At 36.4% G+C, this 24,905-nt stretch overlaps 1 protein-coding gene across 7 annotated transcripts in view; it reads right to left on the minus strand.

Annotated features, from left to right (window-relative positions):
- Positions 1 to 24,905, minus strand: part of EPS15 (epidermal growth factor receptor pathway substrate 15) — a 165,004-nt gene that overhangs the window by 84,475 nt on the left and 55,624 nt on the right. For 2 of the 7 annotated variants that reach the window (XM_017000617.3, NM_001981.3), the window contains exons 8-12: positions 22,354 to 22,413; positions 9,309 to 9,398; positions 8,223 to 8,368; positions 6,152 to 6,308; positions 1,610 to 1,695 (exon numbers count right to left, since the gene is read on the minus strand). In XM_017000617.3, the coding sequence (XP_016856106.1) occupies positions 1,610 to 1,695; positions 6,152 to 6,308; positions 8,223 to 8,368; positions 9,309 to 9,398; positions 22,354 to 22,413 (539 nt within the window). Of the gene's footprint in view, positions 1 to 1,609; positions 1,696 to 6,151; positions 6,309 to 8,222; positions 8,369 to 9,197; positions 9,399 to 20,303; positions 20,364 to 22,353; positions 22,414 to 24,905 lie in introns of those variants that run through there. The other 5 variants (XM_017000616.3, NM_001410797.1, XM_017000618.3 and 2 more) reach the window with 3 other exon arrangements.

A 24,905-nucleotide genomic window follows, 5' to 3' on the forward strand; every position in this document is an offset into this window, starting at 1 on the left:
TTTGCAACAAAGTCAAAAATTTAAAAATCCTAATGAGTGGCAGAATTGTATAACAGAAAGAATGCTGAACTTATACAACCTGGTTTTGATACCAATACTGTCTCTTAACGTGATGTGTGACTTTGGATTTGATTTTTTTTTTTCCGTGAGTAAGGACAAAATTAAACTATACAATCACCACGAAGTGTTTTTTGCCCTGGTCAGATTTCAATATTAGAAGTTTTATGTCATAGGAAAAGGCCAATAAGCCAATCCAATCAGACTGAATTTCAGGTCTTTTCCAGGAAATGCCAGAAGAGAGGCACTCTTCACCAAATTTGAAATTATAAGTACATGTAGCTAGATGTACTATAGCCCTCTTGCCAAAATAAGGAGAAAGTCTATCTGAGAATGGAATCAACCCAGTGGAAATGGAAACAAGAAATGGAGAGCAAGAGAACTGATTATATCATCTGAGCCTCAATATCAAGGAATGCTTTAAGCCAGCCCTACCTCTGAAAGGTTTCAGTTTCACAAGTCAATAAATTTCACTCTTAGTTTGGGTTTAGTTCTTTCTTACAACTGAAAAATTCTAACAACCAGTTTTTCTACAGAAATCTCAACATAGTCTCACAGATAAGGTTAAGATCATTGCCAAATTATTGCCATATAAGGCAGTTAACTCATTTAATCTCCTTATATCTCAATACTGTCAGTAAAATAAAGTATATCAGCCATTATCTGCTTCAAAGTGTTGTGAGGGTTAAAAAAAGAAAAAGACTGGTGTGAATATTTAGATACAGTGCCCTGTAGACAGAAAAATTATCTCACTTTTAAAAAGTAATTTTATAGTCATTTTTACAATCAGTATTACTATAAAGTTTCCAGGGAACACGGAAATTAAGGAAGTACCAATAATATCTGCTATACTCAGATTCAAATCAAATTGTATTTGAGTCTGTTCTACATAGTACCTATGTATAAGAAAGAAGATTCAACTTAGAATAAAGTAGTCCTGGGATCAGGTATCAGCTCTGCAGCTGACAAGCTTGTATCATTTTGGGCAAAATATCTAAGCATCTTAAGTTTCTTACCTGTAAAACAGAAACACCACCACCTATCTCAAATTACAAGGTTTGTGTGAGGGTCAAGTAACAATTATGAAAGCTCTTGGCATGGTGTCTGAATTTAACATTCCATCTATTAAATGTATTAAATGATAATGTTTTTCTAATATGTTATTCAAATATCTAAGGTTGGAGAAAAACTATTTTTCAGTCATTCTAGGATATACGTTTTTTCGCATTTTTCTCTAAATGAAATCAAACAGTACCTTATAGTTAATGGCACGTCATTGTTTATTTGGCAGTGACTTTTCAGTGGTACATAAGTAAACAGTGTATCCTGCAATTAAAGGTTGCCTCATATATGATGAAGTACACTGACTCCGTTTAAACAGAACTGTGGTACTTAACCAAATATTAGGTAGCATTTATCAAAATATACATTAGAAACAGAAAGGTGTGTGTGGGGAGGAAGTTGTATACATATATACATGTACTGTGTGTGTGTGTGTGTGTGTGTGTGTGTGTGTGTGTATGTGAGTAGGCTGTAATTTTGCTTTACATACCTCTGTAGGTCAACTATTTCATTGTTAAGAGTATCTAGTTCCTTAATAGCAGAGAAATCTGCAACAGGACTTGATCCTATGATGTTCTAAAAACAAAAAGTTCACAATTATACATTACTATAAAATTAGGTAATATAAGACAAAACACTAAAAATATTAAAGCTCTACGCAGATATAAGGTATTGCATATTTTACTGTATTACTGAGATTTTTAATTAAGAAAATCATATCTAGTACAATTATATATAATTTTATACTTAATTATATAGTAAGACATTTACATTTCCCTTAAATTCTCCGAAAACTGTTATTCTATACTATGTACCCCATCCCCACCTCCGATCCGAATGTCTTTGTCACTTGATCCTAGCCTGTTCAGAACCTTGCAGTAAAAGAGATGCCAGATTCATAAACTAATTCCTCCACTGAAGTGTAAATTTCTCAGAGAAACTGATGGTGATTTATTTGTATTTGTATAAACTGGCTGAGAGTAAACACACAAATTTTTGTTGAATCTCAGACCTACAGTAGTGGTTGATTTTATTTAATTCAAGGAATTTTTACTTTTGTTACATACTGTGTCTATTTTATTTAAAGTAAAACCAACTGCTCAAGCATGTTCCATAATAAATATTAATACCATCATATATGAAACTGTCTTCATATATGACATCCTGTCCATACAGTTTTCTTTCAACAATGAAGGTTACAAAATTGGTCTCTGAATGGTCCTTGTATTCAGAAAATCTAGCTGGGTTTATTCTGGGTCCTGCTATTTTACTAACTGCATTATCATCACCTGTAAAATAGGGAAATAATCTCTGCCTTGCCCACTTTACAAGTTAAATGAAATAATGTGATGTGACATCAGTCTACAAACTGTGATATTTTATAAATGTAAGCTATTGTTATAATTAACTCTTCAACAGAATATGCTCTTAAAAGATGTGGCCTCCCATTGAGTTGTTTCTACCTTGGCTCAATGTCCTCTGTAAACTATCACTGATGCCCCAGATAGCTAGCTGAAGTCAGAGCGAAAAGATAAATGCTTCCTCAAACATTTCATCTACACCCAATGCTACAACCAGATTAACAAATAACAGGATAATTACCATCTGGAAATGTTAAAACTGAGGCCTGAACATTTAAAAACTAAGATATACTGCTGACTTTATATAACAGAACATAAGACTTTGTGTTAATACTTATGTTGTTGTATAGTTAATTTACGTCAACAACTTGCACAACAGAAGAAACCTAAAAGCACACAATATCCCATCTCCTCATATTTATATACTCATTTACAATTCACTAAGCACTTTAAATTCCACTAGTTAATTCTCAAAACTAATCTGAAAAGTGGGTAGTAGGTAGGGCAGATATTGTTATTAACCCCATCTTAGAACTGAAGAAACAGATTAAATAACTTGCTCAAAGTTGAACCCAGCCAATACGTAGTTTAATCAAGAGTCTTCCGATTTAAGTGCTATTTCACGCAATGCCCCCAGTGGCACTTGCATATCAAGATCATTTCGGTAAATGAAATTATTACTCTAAAAGTAAATTTGATAAAACAGGTACATCAATAAAATTTGGCAAGTAATTCCTTCTGTATTTCTTTATGCCACACTGCAGTTTTAGTACTGAGCTGTTTTGACTATCAGTACCAAAACTCATCTACAAAGGTTTAATACTAATCTCAATTTTATATTAATTACAGCTTTGTATGAAATATACCTCCTATTTTCTGTGTTCCACTGATACACAAAAACTTATCAGTGTTAAATTAAATTAGATATTTTAAAGTGGATTTCTGAATGTGACAATTATTCACTAGTATTTTAACTCTATCTAAACTTGACCTATGAGCTAGGCCTGGCCAGACAGCTAAACAAAATGAAACATTAGCACTTGGTCTCACTTTTATCAGCAAGAGTAAATTACTTCACTTAAATGCTATCAGAAATTTGCTATCAGAGGTGCAAATGTACCAAAGAACTTGTGACTACCACATCTCCTCTGTCACTCTAACTCAAAAAAAGGTGACTCACATTTTATAGTCTTGCCTGTAAAAATATCATCAAATAAGAAGACAAAGTGAGACAAATTAGTTTAACCTCAAACAAGTTAGAAAGTGACACCCCAGATACTGAAAAAAGTTTAGTTAATATTTTATGTAGCATTTGAAGGGTATATGAGAAAAAATATGTAGCATGTCCCCTTCTTTCAAAATGTTTTCTCTTACCCTATTCTTGTGCATTACACAAAAATTCTACTTTGGTGATGTTAAGTGGATCAGAGAGCCTAGGGAAGGCAGACTAAAATGCACACAAGGACCAAGTGACATGTGACAAAAGCATGCTGTTTAGGAATTTTCTTTTTTTTGCTGAATAAAAAACCTCTCATTTCAAAATGTATCTTGTAAACCAAAAACCACAAAGCTAAAAAAGGCATAAAGTAAAGCTCTAACCTTGAGAGAGAGTAGAGTTAAGAAACTGACAGTACAAGAAAGGCGAAAAGCAGAGTGCTGCAGAATGGAAAAAATAGTCCAAACTAGAAAAAACACAGAAAGGAAAGCAACATTCAAAAAAGGATTAGTCAAAGCTGCAAAAAATGCAGTACTAAAAAAACCAGATTAAAGAGAAAAGAGGTTATTTGAAAGATAAAACAATGCAAGTTTTCATTTTTAAAGTTAAAATTTTGGGTTAATAGATAAGATAGCAGTGATAAATTCCCATTTCAATGAATAATACTGGTATCTGACATAAATAGACAAACGTATCTATGATCTAGTGAATGAACTTCAGACAAATCTACTAAATTAAAAACTATACCTCATGCAACTTCAAGCATCTACTAACATAGACTTCAAACTTTTAATTTGCTTCAGAAATTTCTGTCATATCTAAAATTTGTGTTGGTAGGCAATTGAATAGGTTATAAAATGAAGAAGGCAGAAAAAAAAAAAGCAGTCTGCATAGGTGAAAGAAAGCATGAAACAACACAGTATTCCATAACTGAGGTACAGTTATATAGCAAAGAGCAAAAATGCATATTCAGTAACCTTTATCCTTCTGGGTGGCATCACTTTCAGCCTTTTCCACAACTTAAGGGACTCATGTCATACATCATAAGGAATCAAAAAATTCACAAAAAGGCCCCCCCCATAACTCACAAAGCAGATAATAAAATATTTATTTTATTACAAATAAGGACAAAAACTTCTATAAGTAACTCTCCATACCTGGTAGCTATAAATTCCATTTAGCTTACCAAAAAAATCCAATTTTCTTTCTTTCTTTCTTTCTTTCTTTTTTTAAGAGACAGGGTCTTGCTCTGTTGCCCCGGCTGGAGTGTAGCAGTTGGATCTTACTTAGCTCACTGCAACCTCAAACTCCTGGGTTCAAGTGATCCTCCTGCCTCAGCCTCCCGAGTAGCTAGAACTACAGGTACACGCCAACGCACCTGGCTAATTTTTTTGTTTTTGTTTTGTAGAGACAGGGTCTTGCTATGTTGCCCAGGAACTCCTGGCCTCAAGTGATCCTCCCACCTCGGACTCACAAAATACTGGGTTTACAGGTGTGAGCCACTGTGCTTGGTCCCAATTTGGTTTTTATTAATCTTTTTAAAATGGGATTTTTAAGAACCATGTGACAAAATTAATGCAAAACCCAAAATATTCTATGATATTTTAAAGAGCTCTCCTCATACCACACATTTGACAACTCTTATTACTGTATAACAACCCTGAAAAATCTCCACAGCCATGGTTATACTTTATAGGCCATAAGAGATTTAAAAATACAAAGTATTTATTTTTAAAGGCAAATAGCCACTATGGTATGCAAGTCCTTTCAAAGGTCTATTAAAGGCCAAGATATTGCAAATGCATCATACTAGGAAGGGTTTCTACATGAGGAGAGAAAAATCAAGGCATGACTAAAACAATGAAGTTTTGAAAATTCTCACTGCTGTCCAGAAACCAAAACTAGGTAAAACCCACTTCTAGCTGTTCAAATATGAAGTTCAGTGGTATACTCAGGAACAAAAGGTCACCTACAGCAAAAACCGCACAGATACATCCTCAACATAATGTTTTCCTTGGAGGCTTTTTTGATGTAAAATTGACACCAAGCAACCATCATATGCAAGATTCTGTTTTCAAATCTGTATCATTTTATGTAAGAGTGAATCATCAAGTGAAACACAATAATTTAATTTTTATAGCTTTCCTTTTATAATCTATTCATAAAACTTAATTCACAAATCCAGGAAAGGAAAAATAAGCCCACATTTTCCAATTTTAAGACTGGAAATATAGTTGTCATGTTTAATGAATGGGGTAAACAAGCTACTGGCCAAGGATGTTATACAAGGCACTCCAGCATATTTATAGGCACAAACTAAACCACAAACAGTATACTGTTCTGCTCTTAGCCAGATACATTTTCTCTTCTATTTCATCCAAATTGAATCTGTAATTCGACATAGTATTGTTCCTTTGAAATTAATACATTCAGGTTTCCTTTTAAGCTTTCTTACCTTTTGTAAACTGGCCCTGTCTGATGGTGGAATCATTTCAGGAGTAAGAACGTGAGGAGGATCAATGCCCTTGATTAACTTCTGACTGATTAAGTGAAAAGCCAAGGCAAACTGATCCTTTGAAAGCTTCCCACAGTCCTTTGTGTCGCATAATGACCTGCACAAATAAACAAAATGAATGGTATGTAAGTGCCACAACTGCAAAAAGTCCAGAGAAAAAGTACCACTATGCAGCTTTTTTAAAATAATGAGGTGAATTTAAAAAGACAGTCACACCAACTTGCAGGTTATTAAAAACTCACTCAACTGTTCGAAGAGGTAGATCAGCTAAGATGGTAAAAAGAGAATGTTCACCCTGGTGCTGAGCAGGAGCCTCTAATCTGGGTTTACACTTTGTGTTTTCTTACCAATTTTCAGAACCACTATACAGTAAAAGTTGTGGTGGGCCAAAGAATCCTAACATTCCTTACACCCAACATTTTTAACATTAAAAGATATTAAAGATAAAATCTAAGTCTCAACAAATTTGATTCACTGGTGGCATTAGAAGGATTCTAAAACAAGCACAATTTTGATATTGCTATGCCTCCTGCAACTCTTGGAGTAGGAGGATACAAGGATCACCAAGCCAAAGCAGAATAAACAGCTGCAAATGGAAATCACATGTGAGGAAAAGGCAGCAATCTGGAAAGCTTTACACAATCACTTGAAGAGAAACTGCAAAGGTTTTACTCTACTTTCTTTTTCTGTAATTAAAAAAAAAAAAAGCTCAGCTTTCTGAAATCCTGATCTGTTTAATGCACTGAAGGCCAGTAGGGCCTGATGAAAAGACTACATAAGTAAAAAGACTACATGTCACATAGATCTTAAATTCCAGCTTTTCTACTTATTTCTTCTTATAACCTTGGCTAAGTTTTTTAACCTCTCCAAATCTTAGTTTCCTCATCTATAAAGTGGAGATGATAACACCCATCTTGCGAAATTACTATGAGAATTAAAGACAGGATATATAAAAAGCTTAGGCATAACATTAAGCCCGTGACAACTGCCATTTATTGAGTATAGTGCCTACCCTAGGCACTCAATAGTGGCAGCTACTACTAGTTATGCATATTTAATCTTTCCCAGTCTTGGGTTCTTGTTTCTTTTAAGGCAGATCTACTTACTGTCTGCCTCCCTTCTTTTCTAAGTTTCTCTTTACAACCATGTGGCCCCACTTGTGACGTTTCTGCCTCTTGAAAACCTGAAGATAACCTCTGGTATCGTTAGGTGGATTGGCGGCAGACAAACTATAAAGCATTTTCATATACATTATCTCATTTTCTGTGAAATTCATTAAAGACACTAGGGTTTGCCTTTTCAAGGACCAAGTATGTTATTCCTATGTGAAGGTATGAAAGTATACATATACACTATAAAATTATGCAGGTATGCCTTGAAGATACTGTTTTTTACATTGTTTAAATTTCAGATATCTGGATTCTCTCTGAAAATTTTAAGTTTAATTGATATAAACAGAAGCTGGATTTTAACATTCTAATAACAATTAACTGACACTGTCATTCTTTTTTTTTTTTTTTTTGAGATGGAGTTTCATTCTTGTTGCCCAGGCTGGAGTGCAATGGCGTGATCTCAGCTCACTGCAACCTCCACCTCCCAGGTTCAAGCAATTCTCCTGCCTCACCCTCCCGAGTAGCTGGAACTACAGGCGCACACCACCATGTCTGGCTAATTTTTTGTGTTTTTAGTAGAGACAGCTTTTCACCATGTTGGCCAAGCTGGTCTCAAACTCCCGACCTCAGGTGATCCACCCACCTCGGCCTCCCAAAGTGCTGGGATTACAGGCGTGAGCCACCATGCCCAGCGGATGCTGTCAATCTTATAAAGCTTCAGGTAACCCATTCTCAAGCTTTTGTCCATTAGCCAGAAGAATTCTTCAGATTCTGATTTTCTCTATAAAAAATTCTGAAACAAAAACTGTCCTATTTACAAATGACTAAAAATCAAAATGCAGAAACTGGAATTGATACAAAACCATATTTTTAAAAAATCAATTCAAATAAAGTCTTACCATATATGGGCTAGTAAGGTAGAAGGTAAACCTGTTTTCAAGAATATTTCACGGACCTCCAATCCAGACACAAATCCGTCCATATCTTTATCAGTTTTCAGGAAGATTTCATCATATTTAGCTTTTTCTGCAGGGGATACAACCCACTACAGGGAGGAAAAAAAACAGTATTTCTGCCAAAATGAAACAAACTTTGAAGTGTCACTCTTTCAATCCATTACAATATCCATCACAAATTCTGAACAATTCTACCCTACTAACTCAGAGCAACAATGTATCACTTCCATATGACATCTCAATCAAAATGCTGTGGGGAAGAGAAAATAACAGAAGAAAATACAGGTCAGTTAGGACTTATCCATAGGTGCACATTTTTACTTTTTTTTAAGAAATGAGTAAATTCAAACATAGTTAACTCTTGACTAATGCCCACATTAATATAGGTAACTGAAAGTCTGTATAAACAAAATACTCAGATAATTCTCAATCTTTATTTTTTATAGTTTGACCCAGCAGTGTTAACCATAGCCAAACTGGCTGATTTGCATATCCTGTCATTATCTTCCTTTACTCAATCTGACAAGAGGCAGGCTGGGGGCAGAAAAAAAAAAGCCTTGGACAACCCAGAATTCAATAATTTGATCCCAAAGAATCAAGAGTTAACTAGGTATTAAACAAAAATAAAAACAACTATTAATTATGCCAGGGCAAACATGCCATGTTAGCATGGAGCATCTTCCATTTCTAACTTTAATTCCAGGGAGATCAAAATAAAACCAATAAAACATCCATATGACCCAAGGCCTAATGTAGAAGGAATATCTGTCTTCTCTGGAGTATCACATTATGCAGGTTCAACGAGATGGTGCTCTAAAATTTTTATCCTTTTAATTGCTCTATCTTTGTCAAATAGTAAACTGTTAAATGCCATGTACTTTGTTAAAAAAAAATCCTTTAACACTGATAAATCTATACCTGTCTTAATGGTGCTTTGGTAGGTAAAATGCCTACAGATGGTAAGGAGTGGTAAGATTCCTTGGCTGATGCTGAAGAGGGGATCAACCGCACAGAGCCTGATATACTGACCGTTTTTCTCTTAGATGGTGGCACCAAGGCTGGAGGCAAGGACATTGGCACAGGTTCTTTCTCCAGTGCACAGTATACCAAAAACATGGCCTTCAAAATAAATGAACCAGGGTCATATATATTAAAAGCACTTAACATCCACCCACTGAATTGATTATTGTTCAATGATAAATCATCGTCAGGCTCTCAAATCCTTTTTTAAGAAATTGGGCTGGGAGGGAAAGAAGAGGAAAATGAGGGAGGGATGAAAGGAGGGAGAAAAAGAAAGAAATAAAAACTAAGAAATTTTTAGGAAGATATCCTTAGTAAAAATTTAGAGACGTACCCTTCAACTAAAGTTCTTGCAATGTCAAAGGCAAACAACAATTTGAGAAGACAACATATGCAAAGAAAGAAGTACTCTCCCTAATATATAGAGCTCCTAAAAATTAACAGAAAAAAAAGTCCAATAGAAAAATGGAAAAAGAGTTTGAAGAGATATTTTACAGACAAGCAAATCCCTTAAATGGTCCATTCTTTAACATAAAAAAAATGCCCAATCTCAGATGAAAACTGTAAGTTAAAACTATACTGAAATACCATTTTCTACCTAATTGGCAAAAACTCAAAGTTTCATAATATACTTTGTTAGCTAAACTGTGGGGAAATTTTTACACTGCTGGTGGGAGCTGAGCGGTAGCATGCTACCCCAAAACATTCCACTTTGGCATAAGGATTATTTTGAACTGAAAGCAACTGAGAAGTAGTAGCATCAAAAAAATAAATAAATAAATAAAAGCTCTCTGCCCTCCTTCTATATGCCTAAAAGCAGGATATAAATTTACAAAGGTATCCCTCTTGCCCTCTCTACAAGGAAGGATAACAGTTCCTGCCCAAAATGAATTCAGACCCTTATCAGCCTAGAGGTGTCGCCAGAAGAATTACATAACAAACTTAATGCTGCTGGTGGGAATGTAAAGTAGTTCAGCCATTGTAGAAAAGTCTGGTGATTTCTCAAAGAACTCAAAGCAGAATTATCAATGACTCAGCAATCCTATTACTGGGTATATACCCAAAGGAATATAAATTGTTTATCATAAAGACATATGCACACATATGTTCATCACAGCACTATTCACAATAGCAAAGACATGGAATCAACCTAAATGCCCATCAATGGTAGACTGGATTAAAAAAATGTGGTACATATACACCATGGAATACTACACAGCCACAAAAAACAACAAGATCATGTCCTTTGCAGCAAAATGGATACAGCTGGAGGCCATTATCCTAAGCAAACTAACACAGGAACAGAAAAACAAATACCATATGTTCTTGCTTCTAAGTGGGAGCTAAACATGGAGTAAATGGGGTCACAAAGAAGGAAACAACAGACATGGGGCCAATGTGAGGGTGGAGGGAAGAAGAGGTTCAAAAAACTACCTATCATTTATTAAATGAATGACAAAATAATCTGCACACCAAACCCCGTGACATGCAATTTACCTATATAACAAACCTGTACATGTACCCCTGAACCTAAAATAAGAGTTAAAAAAATTCATTGTTCTTTGTTAAAGATGCTATATTAGGCTAAGTTTCTTTTGCAGTAAAGGAAGAGTTTAATTGATGCAAAACTGGCCACACCACACGGAAGACAGAGTTATTACTCAAATCAATCTCCCCAAGAATTTGGGGGCTAGGGTTTTTCAGACAGTTTGGGGAAGGGGTGGGGGTGGCTAGGCAATGGGTGCTTGCTGCTGACTGGCTGAGGGTGCAATCTTGGGGTACGGGAAATTGTCCTCCTGTGCATTGAATGGCTTCTGGGTGGGACCACAGGAACAAGTCCAGGAGGAAGCCATGGTTGCAAAAAACTCCAAGTGCAGGGCAGCTTGATTCCAGGGTGTGGAAAAGGCATAAGGGAGGCTCCACTGAAGATTCAGTAGGAAAATTACATGGCCTCGCTGTGAGTGCCTGGCCCGTGGCTGGATGTCAGATGCTGCTCTTCTTCTCTTTCTTACTGGATCACTCAAGAGATGGCCAAGGAGGTATTCCTAATAGCTCAGAATTTGGAGAGGATGTGTTCTGGTATTTTTGGGCTTCAGCTAGCTGTGGTGAAGGATTGGGCACAACGTGGGACATAAGGCTCCCAACTGCTACCCTGCAGGAGCCAGGGCACTCCTGGGCAGCTCCTAGGATGGAAAGGCCACACTGGGGGGGGCTGTATTTTAGTCCGTTTTTGTATTGCTATAAATAAATACCTAAGGCTGGGTAATTTATAAAGAAAACAGGCTTAACTGGCTCACAGTTCTGCAGGGTGTACCAAGATGGCTCCAGCATCTGCCTCTCATGAGGCCTCAGGGAGCATCCAATCATGGCAGAAGGCAAAGGGGGTGCAGACGTGTCACATGGCAAGAGCAGGAGCAAGAGCAAACCTGAGTTGTAAGCCACCTATTTGACAGTTACTCCTTTCCTGAGTTTCTTCCATGTATATATGAAATATACATGTTAATAAACTTCTGTTTTTCTCTTATCTTTTGTTACAGGGTTCTCAGCCAAGAACTTAAAAGGGTATAGGAAAAATTATTTTTCTTCCCCTAACATGCTCAAATTGGTACCACCCCTATGAAGGGCAAACTGGCAACATCTACCAAATTGCAAATGTGTTTCCCCTTCGGCTCTGCAATCCCACATCTGGGAATCTATCCATATGAAATGCTGTATGAAAAAGATTAATTGCAGCACCGTTTGTATCAGCACCCAAATGCCCATCTACAAAACCTGGTTTAAAAAATTATGGTATACTCTACACTGGGAAGTTAAGGTAAAAAAATTATTTTTAAAAATGGTATATCCATATAATGAAATACTATAAAGCATTAAAAAAATCACAAAGAACATTGTGTGTCTTAACTGTGGTGGTGCCTTCAGGCATATAATTGCCAAAACTCATCAAATTATATACTTAAATTGGATGCAGTTTGTTGTGGATAGCCTTGAATAATGCTAACCAGGAAAAAAAGAATCATGGAGCTCTCATAGTGAAAAGGTATCCAAGATAAACTGTTAACTATGAAAAAGTATAGTGTTGAACAGTGTGTTTAGTGGGTTATCTTTTGTGGTAAGGAGGAAATAATTAGTTATATTTGTTTATATTTGCATTAAGAAATTCTAAGATAGGCTGGGCGTGGTGGCTCACGCCTGTAATCCTAGCACTTTGGGAGGCTGAGGTGGGTGGATCACCTGAGGTCAGGAGTTCGAAACCAGCCTGGCCAACATGGTAAAACTCCATCTCTACTAAAAATACAAAAAAATTAGCCAGGCGTGGTGGCGCATGCCTGTAATCCCAGCTACTTGGGAGGCTGGGGCAGGAGAATTGATTGACCTTGGGAGGTGGAGACTGCAATGACCTGAGATTGTGCCACTGCACTCCAGCCTGGGAAACAGAGAGAGACTCCATCTCAAAAAAAAAAAAAAAAAAGAAAGAAAGAAAGAAAAGAAAAAAAAAGAAATTCTAAGATAAATAAGAAATTAAGAAAATTAGGCATAGAATAGGGATAAATGGAGCAATTGAGAGCAGGGGTGGAAATGAGATTTTTTTCACTGTATATCTTCTTATATTGATTCTTGAACCATGACAAGTATTTTTAATACATAAAGCACTTGCACAAAATGGGAAAAATTTGCATACAGACTGTCCCAGAATATATTCTCTTCATTTTAAAGCATTCAAGGTACCTTCAACACTTTCAGAGCATGAAAGTTTTCCATAACTATCTTTTAGCATATGAAATCACTCAAACTAACTTGGAACCTCTAGAAAGAGTCCAGCAACCACGAAAAGAAAGCTTGCATGTTTCTTAAATTTTTATTTCTTTTTTTTTGGTTGGTTTGTTTTTTGCCCAGCACAGTGACGCAATCTTGGCTCACTACAACCTCCGTCTCCTGGGCTCAAGCCTTCCTCCCACCTCAGTCTCCCAAGTAGCTGGGTCTACAGGTAAACGCCACCAAACCCAGCTAATTTTTTTTTTTTTAAAGAGATGAGGATTAGCCATGTTGCCCAGGCTGGTTGGTCTCCAACTTCTGAGCTCAAGCGATCCACCCACCCCAGCCTCCCAAAATGCTGGGATTACAGGTGTGAGCCACTGAGCCCAGTCTCTTGTTAAATTTTTTCTTCCAGAGAAAATTTGCATATAATCATATATTAAGTTTTGTGGGGCTTTCACATATATTTATATATTTATTTAATTTGTTTATTTTATTTAATAATTTATTGACAAAGGCTCACTCTGTTGCCCAGGCTGGAATGCAGTGGCGAGAACACAGCTTGCTGCAGCCTCAACCTCCCAGGCTCAAGTGAGTCTCTCACCTCAGCTTCCCAAGTAGCTGTGACTACATGCGTACGTCACCATGCCTGGCTAATTTTTTTATGTTTTGCAGAGATGGGGGTCTCACTACGTTGCTCAGGTTGGTATCAAACTTCTGGGATCAAGTAAGCCACCACACCCAACCCCTCAATTTATTTATTGAGCACTCAATGCAACAACATTCATCACTGATTTCCAGGATTACCAATCTCATTTTACAAATGAACACACTGAAGCTAAGATGCTAAGTAACTTGCCCAATATAATATTTTTAAGAAGTGATACAGTGGGGTTCAAACCAACATCTTCTGGCTACAAAGCTCTTGTTTTTTCCAAATTTGATCAGCTTTATTAGCAGCACATATGTAATCTTACAATACCACGCTGTCCTTTACAAGCGATAAAACTAAACCTTAACCCATTGGTACCCAAATTTTAGCAGGCATCAGAATTACCTGGACAGCATGATAAAGCACAGATTTCTGGCCCCTGCACTCAGAATTTTCTAACCAGCAAGGTTGGGCCTGAGAATTTGCATTTTTAACAAGTTCCCGAATGATGCTGATGCTGTTTGTCCAGGAACCACACTTAACCAAGAATTCTCCTCTCCTTTTTCACTAGCCAACCTAGAAGAATTCAATTTCAGTTTTAGAAACACACAAACTTTTTATTTCCAAAAGCCTGAAACTCCAGAAAGAAAACAATCTGACTAACATACACTTCCAACCAAATTCACAATATATGTACTGTGAAATTGTCAGAATGGCACTGAGCTAAGAGAAGTGCCTAGTGTACACATTAACAGTCAGCACTTCTCTTGCTGCAGATGGGAGTCATTTCCTGGAAAAGTGGACACTAGAAGCGAAAAAGCAACGTTAGCCATCTGCTGCCAATAGACAACACATTTTTATGAAAGTTAAAAATATATATTATTAATTTCATGTTGCCTTGAAAATAGTTTCCCTGGCAAAACTAAAGCCAAAAATTATACCTCCAAATAAAAGAGCAAAAGTGAACAGAATACTTTTAATACTGCTGGGTTGTGATTTTGTTTTCTTATTATATTGTACTTATTCCTATTAAAAGTATGCCACTGAAACAAAAGCAATTAAATCAAATGCATTCACACACACACCAAAAAAAATCTGGTTAGTAACTAGTTGTCAAACTGAAACATACTAGCAAGTGCATTTACACAGAAAGAGACACTTAAGGAAGAAGCATTTAGAATGTCTTTTTATTTCAAAGTAAAAGTATAAAAAATTTTATTAATAAGAATAATAAAAGTATCAAACTCCTGAGACAGGAGGGAAAGAGGGGATTTAATTTTACTGTTGCAATCAGTTACTAACAGCTGTCCACTTTCTCTGATATTTTTTCATTTTCCATGCTTTTAGGCAGTATTTCTCAAATTTTAGTCACCATGAGAATCACCTGGAGGGTTTTTAATTCTTGGCCAAAGCCCAAGACTTTGGTGAAACCCTGTCTCTACTAAAAATACAAAAATTAGCTGGGCGTGGTGGCAGGTGCCTATAAACCCAGCTACTCTGGAGGCTGAGGCAGGAGAATTGTTTGAACCTAGCAGGTGGAGGCTGCAGTGAGTCAAGATCTCACTACTGCACTCCAGTCTGGGCGACAGAGTGAGACTTTGTTTCAAAAAAAAAAAAAAAAAAAAAAAGGGAAAAGATCGTGCTCAGTTTTACGACCCAATAGGAGGAGGAAATATGTAAACAGTTAATTTTAATACAACGTGATACACACTAATACACACAAAAACAGCTCCTCTATACATCTCTAAGTGCCAAAAACTCTTCACATAATGAAGACCCAAACAAATATTACTGACAAAAGCTTAAGCCACTTTCAGTCTAAGAACTTACCTGATAGAAAAATTTAAGGCTTAGTAAGAATGTAAAAACCAATAGATAGATATGCAGACAAACAGCAAAGTAAAAAGGGCATGAGTCTATACTTCCAGAGAATAGAGTAGGAAAAGGGAAAAAGTAACTTTACAGTGGTGAAATCTGGCAAACACTTATCTTAAATAAGTGAAGGTTAACATCAATAGTGATGTCACATGGATATCATGTACCCCCAATATAATGTGATGACAAAAGCATTACGCCTCCGTGTTATTCTTTGCAAAAACTCATTTGTCCAGTCTAGTCACGAGAATAGCATCAGACAAACCTAAGTTGGGAGACATTCTGTGGGATATCTAGCCAGTATTCTTCAAAAATGTCAAGGTCATAAAAAGCAAGGCAAGACTGACAAACTCATATACCAGAGAGACTGAAAACATGACAACTAAATGCAACGTGATACCCTAGATTGGATCCTGTGACAGAAAGGAAAAACTGGCGAAACCCAAATAAAGTCTGGAGTTAATAATGCACCAATGTTGGTTTTTTAGTTTTGACAGATGTACCATGGTAATGTAATATGGTAAAAAGGGAAAACAGCGAAGGGGAATGGAAAACTGTGCTCTCTGCAACTTTTCTATAAATCTAAAATCACTCCAAAATTTAAAGTTCATTAGGAAAAAAAAAAAAAAGAGCATGACTCTAGAAGGCTCAGGTTAGCCTGGGTTGTAAGCCAGGAACTGCTGTGCTTAAAGAAGCTAAATTACAGGATCTTGTCAAACTCTAAATCTACAAAAATCATGAGCATAGGCTCATTCACCAAATACTAGATTCCTAGATTTACGGGCCTTTTCTTTAAAATAAAAAGCAGTAGTTTCAGCCCTAATAAAACAAAGAACTATTTCACAGAATAGGACTATACACTTGCAGAACTTACCCCACAAAGAGAATAAACTTTAACATAATTATCAGTCACTTCCCTTGGTTCACTGGCAGTAGCATAATTTTAGATACATTTCTAGTTTTCAAATCATAACAGAAAAATTTGGCCCTTTGGGCACGGTGACTCACACCTGTAATCCCAGCACTTTGGGAGGCTAAGGCAGGTGGATTACCTGAGATCAGGAGTTTGAGACCAGCCTGGCCAACACGGCGAAACCCCATCTCTACAAAAAATACAAAAATTAGCCAGGCGTGGTGGCGGGCACCTGTAATCCCAGCTACTCAGGAGGCTGAGGCACAAGAACAGATTGAACCTGGGAGGTGGAGGTTGCGGTGAGCCGAAATCACACTACCATACTCCAGCCTGGGTGACAGACTCTCAAAAAAAAAAGAAAAGAAAGAAAAAGAAAAATTTGCTCCTTTTACAAAATGTCGCCTTAATGCTCCATCAGAGACTTTCTACAAAGCCAAATGGGCCAGAAGTTAAACTCGGAAATATATTTCCAATATCCTTACAATCTAGTCAGATAATTCATCCATGAGTAAACAGAATACTGATACACAATCACAGATATTTTAAAAATCCAGATTTGAGGGGGTAGATATGATTTTTTAAATCTATTTTTGTGTATGTACATACATATATACATTATACATTCCACGTACACAAAACTCTCTGAAGTCATTTTAGTTGTGGCCAGAATACCCATGGTCATGCCAAGGCCTAACTTTTACAAATTTACTTTTAAAAAAAAAAAACCAAAAAACTAAAAGATATTCTAGATTCTGGATTTTTAATTAAACTACTGGGCTTCTGAGAATATGAACAAGCATTTACATTTGAAAAGAAACAAGGGCCATTCATCAAAGGTTCACATGGCAACAGAAGTTATACAGGTTAGAATCTTTAACTTCATTTATTCTAACTAAAAAGATAAACCAACCAAAAATCTCATTTATGCTATAAAATAAAAGAAACGGGTTAAGAATTTTAAAAGTAAGTCTAAACATAAAGACTCAAGTTCAAGCAAGTTTTGGTTAATTACTAAGTTACTCTTTTAAAAAATCTATACTGAAATTCAACACCCCAAGTTAGAGTCCTCTCTTTAACTTCATTTTCATTTTTTCCCATTCAAAAAAATAAACACAAAGCAGACACGGGGTCTTTAAAACAAACAAACAAAAAGCATTTAACCCAAGGGGAAATGGGCAAGAATTTTAAAGGTAAGTCTTGAACAAAAAGATTCCTATGTTCAAGTCAGTTTTGATTATCTAGTAAAATAAGACCTAAACTTGTATTATACTTCAACAAACCAAAATCCTGGCAGAGTATAAACTGCCATAGGCCAAAAGGACTGATCATATAAATAAGAACATTATATTTTATTATTTAGGAGGATAATTTAAAATGTTCAGATCTTAGCTACGTCACTACTGCAAAAGTATTTTTTAAATTACTTCAATTTTCAAGGAAGAATGATATCAGCTCTCAAAATTCAGTTTTGTAAAATATTGATGCTTGTAAATAAAAACAAATCAATGACTTGCAGCTGTAGTTACACAGGCTATCTTGCAGTAATTATAATTTTTAAAAAGAGTACAGATTATGTTGCTCTATTTATTAAAGTAAAAGGATAAAGAAAGATTTATCAGACAAATTCTAACCAAAAGAATACTAGTTATTAATATTGAACAAAACTGGAAGAAAAATACCAAAACCAAAAGAAATAAATTAACTGAGCAAAATCTAGAATTTGAGTCACAAAAAATGTTCTAAGGTCTTCTGGAATTAGAACATGAGGGGGGGCCAGGCACAGTGGCTCAAGCCTGTAATCCCAGCACTTTTGGAGGCCGAGGCGGGCAGATCACGAGGTCAGGAGATCAAGACCATCCTGGCAAACACAGTGAAACCCCGTCTCTACTAAAAATACAAAAAAAATTAGCCAGGCGTGGTGGCGGGCGCCTGTAGTCCCAGCTACTCAGGAGGCTGAGGCAGGAGAATGGCGTGAACCCAGGAGGCGGAGCTTGCAGTGAGCTGAGATCGCGCCACTGCACTCCAGCCTGGGCAACAAAGTGAGACTCCATCTCAAAAAAAATAAAAATTAAAACTAAAAAAAAGAACATGATGGGGAAGAAAATAAATAAAAATAATCTAAAGGACTCATTTTGCTAGAGTAATGGTTGAAAATCTTGTTTTCAACATAGGAGAAATAAGTACTAGTACAGGAAAAGGGGCACAAGGTGCGAATCCCCTACCCAAAATGCTTGGGACCAGAAGTGTTTTGGATTTTTTCGGATTTTGGAATATTATCTTTTTTTTTTTTTTTTTTTTTTTTTCCAGATTCTGGAATATTATCCTATCTTGGGGATGGGACCCAAGTCTAAACATGAAATTCATTTATGTTTCATATAAACTTTATACACATAATCTAAGATAATTTTATACAATCTTTTTAATAATTTTGTGCATGAAACAAAAGTTTTGACTGTAACTTATCACATGAGACCAGGAGTGGAATTTTCCACTTTGTGGGTCATGTCAGTACTCAAAAGTTTCAGATTTTGAAGCATTTCAAGTTTTGGATTTTCAGATTAGGGATGCTCAACCTGTATTAACTATATTAATGAAACAAGACATTATAACAAAATTTCCACATTAACTGGGAGGCGGGGTAAGGGAATGAATCACAAGTTGATAATAAGCAACAGTAAGAAACAGAGAAAATAAAAATGTAAAATAAATCGGTAAAGAAGGGAAAATCAAATCAATATAAGTGCTATTATCTTAAAAACTATCCAATTAGGTAAAGCATTAAAATACAGAAATCTGCCATTTTCAAGAGACATACACAACAAACATAAGAAATATCAGGTAATTCAAAAAAAGAGGGAACAGGAGAAGCAGTATTAAAATCACACAAGCTAGAGTTTAAAACTAGGAAAAAATTCTGAAGAATATGGATACAGGGAGAAAGCAAATGTGACAAAATGGTTAACAAGTAAATCTAGGAGAAGATAAAGGGGTGTCTACTATTTAAAACAAAATTCAAGGTAGTAATTTCCTACAAATGTATTTATTATTCAAAAATTATTTTTAATAAAGCTTTTTATTAAAAAAAAAAAAGGCCAGTTACCTGGGAATAGGCTCCAGGCATATAAGATAAATTGTGTTTATTCATTTACCTTAGCATGCACTACTGTTTATCAAATGATGACACTACTATTCCCCATCTACTCTAACTATATTTTTGTCTTGGGCCTGAAGAGGTGGCTCATGCCTGTAATCCCGGCACTTTGGGAGGCCGAGGCGAGTGGATCACCTATTATCAGGAGCTCGAGACCAGTCTGGCAAACACGGCGAAACGCTGTCTCTACTAAAAATATAAAAATTAGCCGGGGGTGGTGGTGCATGCCTGTAATCCCAGCTCCTCAGGAGGCTGAGGTGGAAGAATAACTTGAATCCAGGAGGCCGAGGCTGCAGTGAGCTGAGATCCCGCCACTGCACTCCAGCCTGAGTGACAGAGTGAGACTCCGTCTAAAAAAAAAAAAAATTTGTCTTTATGAGAAAAAAAATCCCTCATTACATCGTACCATGCAAAGATTTTGCACCAATATTCTTACCACAAAAACCATTTATGAGAAGTTTATGTGTAGGGTTTGACGATGTTTCAAAGTATATCATCACCGAAATCTCTTCAGCACGGCCCCATTCCCAAAAGCATCCCACAAACAATGGCTCAACCCCTGAAATGCGACTGAGATAACTTTTGTCACCACCGCGAGGGAGTATCCTTTACCATTTCCCAACTATTATTCAAATTAAAATTAAAAAGATTAGGTACCTGTGAACAAGAATTCAAGTCACTTTAAGTTTCTCTTTCTGCATTTTTAAAATGTGGTAATATGTATTCTGCCTATTTCATCTGGCTCTTGTGGAAAATGAGGAAAATCTAAGGAAGGGCCAAAAACAAAAGAAAAATAAGGACAAAGAGAAACTAAATAATCAATACATTTGAGGCTGGGTGCAGTGGCTCACGCCTGTAATCCCAGCACTTTGGGAGGCTGAGGCGGGAGGATCACCTGAGGTCAGGAGTTCAAGAGCAGCCTGGCCAACATGGTGAAACCCTGTCTCTACTAAAAATACAAAAGTTAGCCAGATGTGGTGGTGCACTTCTGTAATCCCAGCTACTTGTGAGGCTGAGGCGGGAGAATCGTCGAACTTGGGAGGCGGTGGTTGCAGTGAGCCAAGATTGCGCCACTGCACTCCATACTGGGCAACAGAGCAAGACTCTGTCTCAAAAATAAAAATAATAAAATAAAATAAAATAAATTTGATATAATGAATTTATAAAACTCTAATATCCTCCAAACAGAAATACTGCCATATCCATGGAATATATGTAAAAGCAGGTCATAAACTTGGCAACAAAGAAAGCCTTAACTAATTTTTTTAATTAGACATTTTATAGACTATATTTTTCTAGTTATAATCCAATCAGGTTGAAAGTATACATCAAAGTAACAAAAACCAACCAAACTTAACCACTTTAAAATTAGGAAACATATTCCTAACCAGATAATAAAACTAAAAATTATCTAAAAAGCTGTATAAAGGAGAAAACTTTGTACCAATATCTATGGAATCCCACTAAACCTGTATTCAAGGGTGAATATATCCTTTAAATGATTTCAATATTAAAGATAAAGAGAACTGAAGAAACATAATACTCATCTCCGAGAAATTTAAAATAAAAAGAATAAGAAAATGTAACAGGGAATTAAATGTTAAACATCATTAAATTAAAAGTCAAAATATAATAGAAAGGATAAGTAAATTCAAAAGATGGTTCTTCTAACAGATCAATAAACTAGACAAAATCAGATTAAGTAAAAATACAAGTGGGAGTACTCCCAAGACTTGGAGTGAGTAAAGAGAACAACCACGAAAGAGAGTATCACAAATTTGTAGCAACAAGTTTGAAAGTAAAAGAAATTAGTAATTCCTTACCAAAATAAAAAGAGAAAATCTGAGAGTAAAAGGGAAATTAGAAATTTACCACTGATGAATTCACAGCAAAGTTTTATCAAACCTTTAAGGAAGAGGTGAATACAACCATATTTGGAATTAACTATTCAATTACTAAGATGACATGTCTTCAGATAAAATGTCAAAACTTTTCTGCCTTCATAAATGAAGTGAAACTCAAGTGTTATTCATGTTTCCTTTAAATGAAATAAAAGGAAATGTGAAATTTGGGAGATACATTTGAAGCAAAATTATTCCATATTAGAAGCAGGTACTAAGATACCTGGTCAGGTTGTGATACAAAAGATACTATCTTTACAGTAATTATACAAAGTATACGTTCCTATGTACCTTAAAGCCAAATAAAATGAAGATGGCAGAACACACATTTTCTGTTATCCATTTGTTTAGAAAATAAATATAAATTCTATATAAGAATGTTCAACCAGCCGGGCACAGTGGTTCATGCCTGTAATCCCAGCACTTTGGGAGGCTGAGGTGGGCAGATCACTTGAGGTCAGGAGTTCAAGACCAGCCTAGCCAACACGGCAAAACCCCATCTCTTCAAAAGATACCAAAATTAGCTGGGCGTGGTGGCATGTGCCTGCAATCCCAGATACTTGGGAGGCTGAGGCACGAGAATTACTTGAACCTGGGAGGTAGAGGTTGTGGTGAGCCAAGATTGTGCCACTGCACTCCAGCCTGGGTGACAGAGTGAGACTCTGTCTCAAAAAGAAAAAAAAAAAAAGTTCACCCAATAATCTGATGAGAATATAGTTTTCCTCTAAGGATGAACTAAAAGAGGAAATTTGCACATGAGAAAATCATTAAGATAATGAAGATGTTAAGAACATTAGATTACTTACAACTGCAAACTCATCTCTGTCAAGCATTCCATCATGGTCAATATCACTCAACTCCCAAACCTTAAAAAGAGAATAATTGAAAAAAGATTAATGTTCTTTCAGTTCATGTTCTACTCGAGGGCAAGAAAAGAAAGTTTATGAGCTAGGAATGGTGGCTCATGCCCATATGGCCTCCCAGCACTTTGAGAGGCCAAGGCAGGAGGATCACTTCAGCCCAGGAGTTTGAGACAGCCTAGGAAACATAACGAGATCCCATCTCTACAAAAGATAAAAATAAAAAATTAGCTGGGCATGGTGGCATCCACCTGTAGGCCAAGCTACTCAGGAGGCTGAGGTAGGAGGATCCCTTAAGCCTAGGAGATCAAGGCTGCAGTGCACTATGATATGCCACTGCACTCCAGCCTGGGCAACGGAGCTAGACACTGTTTCTTAAAAAAAAAAAAAAAAAAAAAAAAAAGTGTACTGTTGAGAGTTAAAAATGGAGATAAGCAAGTGTCTGGTTATAATTGCCTTGAAAGGAGTTTGGGCTTTATTCTAAGTGCAATGGAAAGCTACTAAAAAGTTAGGTTTAAGTAATAAAATAACAACAGTGTATTTATAGTTTAGAAATTTCACACTGATCACACAGGGGAGAAATAATTAGTGGGAAACAATACTAAAAAATGGCATTTAAATAAATATTTATTGAGCATCTAAAATCTATATAACATTGATCCAGTAGTAGTAATAATATGGTGGTATGGTGGTTGTCATCATCATAGCAGCTAGCATTCAAAGAGTATGTAGCAATCATGGTAATAAGCAGGACTTAACATTCATTATCACATTCAATCACTACAATTCTATAAGCTGGGAATTATGTCCCTTTTAAAGATTAGAAAACTGAGACATGGCTTTCTAATGACTTGCCCAAGGTCACACAGCTAAGAAGTGGTGCAGCCAGGATTTGACCCTATGTAATCTGCTGAAGCAGGTAATTAAAGAAAGGGCAGCCGGGTGCTGGTGGCTCACGCTGTAATCTCAACACTTTGGGAGGCTGAAGCAGGTGGATCACCTGAGGTCAGGAGTTCAAGACCAGCCTGAACAACATGGAGAAACCCCATCTCTACTAAAAATATAAAAATCAGCTGGGCGTGGTGGCACACGCCTGTAATCCCAGCCACTCAGGAGACTGAGGCAGGAGAATTGCTTGAACCCGGGAGGCAGAGGTTGTGGTGAGCCAAGATTGCGCCATTGCACTCCAGCCTGGGTAACAAATGCTAAAATCCATCTCAAAAAAAGAAAAAAAAAAAAAGAAAGGGCAAGAGGTTTAAAGAGAGTAGTTAAGATTTGAAATATGAAGAGGATTATGGAGAAATCACTATGGAAACAGCACAAGAGTGACTGGCAGTACGGAGAAGCCCAGCTGAAGCTGGTGATGATAAATTTAAAGTGACAGCAATCTTACTACACCTGCTCAGTAGTCCACATGCACCACAGAGAAGGCAGATAATTTACTTCATGTTTTTTCCATCAGGCAGGAGAGATAGAAAAATAACATGGCAAAGGGGGCTAAGGATAGATATGAAGCTGTAGACCAAAAGACAGGGAATAAAGTTTTACTTTTACAGGAGGAAAAGAATTCATGGCGATGGATATTGGGGATAGTTGCATAATAATGTAAATGTAGTTAATACCACTGAATTGTACACTTAAAATTGGTTAAGATGTTAAATTTCATGATATGCATATTTATCACAGTAAAAAAATTGAAAAAAAGAGGAAAAGTAAAAAAGTCAGATTTTTTTTTTTTTTTTTTTTTTTTTCTAAGACAGTCTTGCTTGTCGCCCAGGCTGGAGTGTAGTGGTGCGATCTCGGCTCACTGCAACCACTGCCTCCTGGGTTCACGCGATTCTTCTGCCTCAGCCTCCTGAGTAGCTGGGACCACAGACTGCGCACCACCACGCCCGGCTAATTTTTGTATTTTTAGTAGAGATGGGGTTTCACCATATTGGCCAGGCTGGTCTCGAACTCCTGACCTCGTGATCCACCCGCCTCAGCCTCCGAAAGTGCTGGGATTATAGGTGTGAGCCACCATGCCCAGCCAAGAAGTCAGATTTAAAGGTCTTAGTAAAACCAGTCAAAGAATTAGTCTTGCTAGTTTCTGGAAAAGAGCTCTATAAAGACAGGAAGTACAAGTTAGAGAGAAGAATTTATGATTTCAGAGATAAAACTATTCCTTACAACAAGACACCATGATACAGCCACAGAGTAAGTGGCAGACATAAAATACTGATGGTCTCTAGAAATTAACTCAAGCAAATAGGAGGTCAAGAGTGTACAGCACAAACTAAAAAAGGACCTACTTAAGGGGCTTACATATGTAATTCATTTCAACCACTCATTTTTACAGGGAATAACCAAATACAGAAATATGCTGGCAATAATTTTATACATTAAGTCAGAAAACAAAAAATCCTATAATGATACAACTTTAAAATAAGATTTGTATATTTTTAACAAAGAGTTATACATGCTCCTGGCATAATAGATATAAAATTAAAATACATAAA

This window comes from Homo sapiens, chromosome 1 (genome assembly GCF_000001405.40).
Source record: "Homo sapiens chromosome 1, GRCh38.p14 Primary Assembly".
Lineage (NCBI taxonomy): Eukaryota > Metazoa > Chordata > Mammalia > Primates > Hominidae > Homo > Homo sapiens.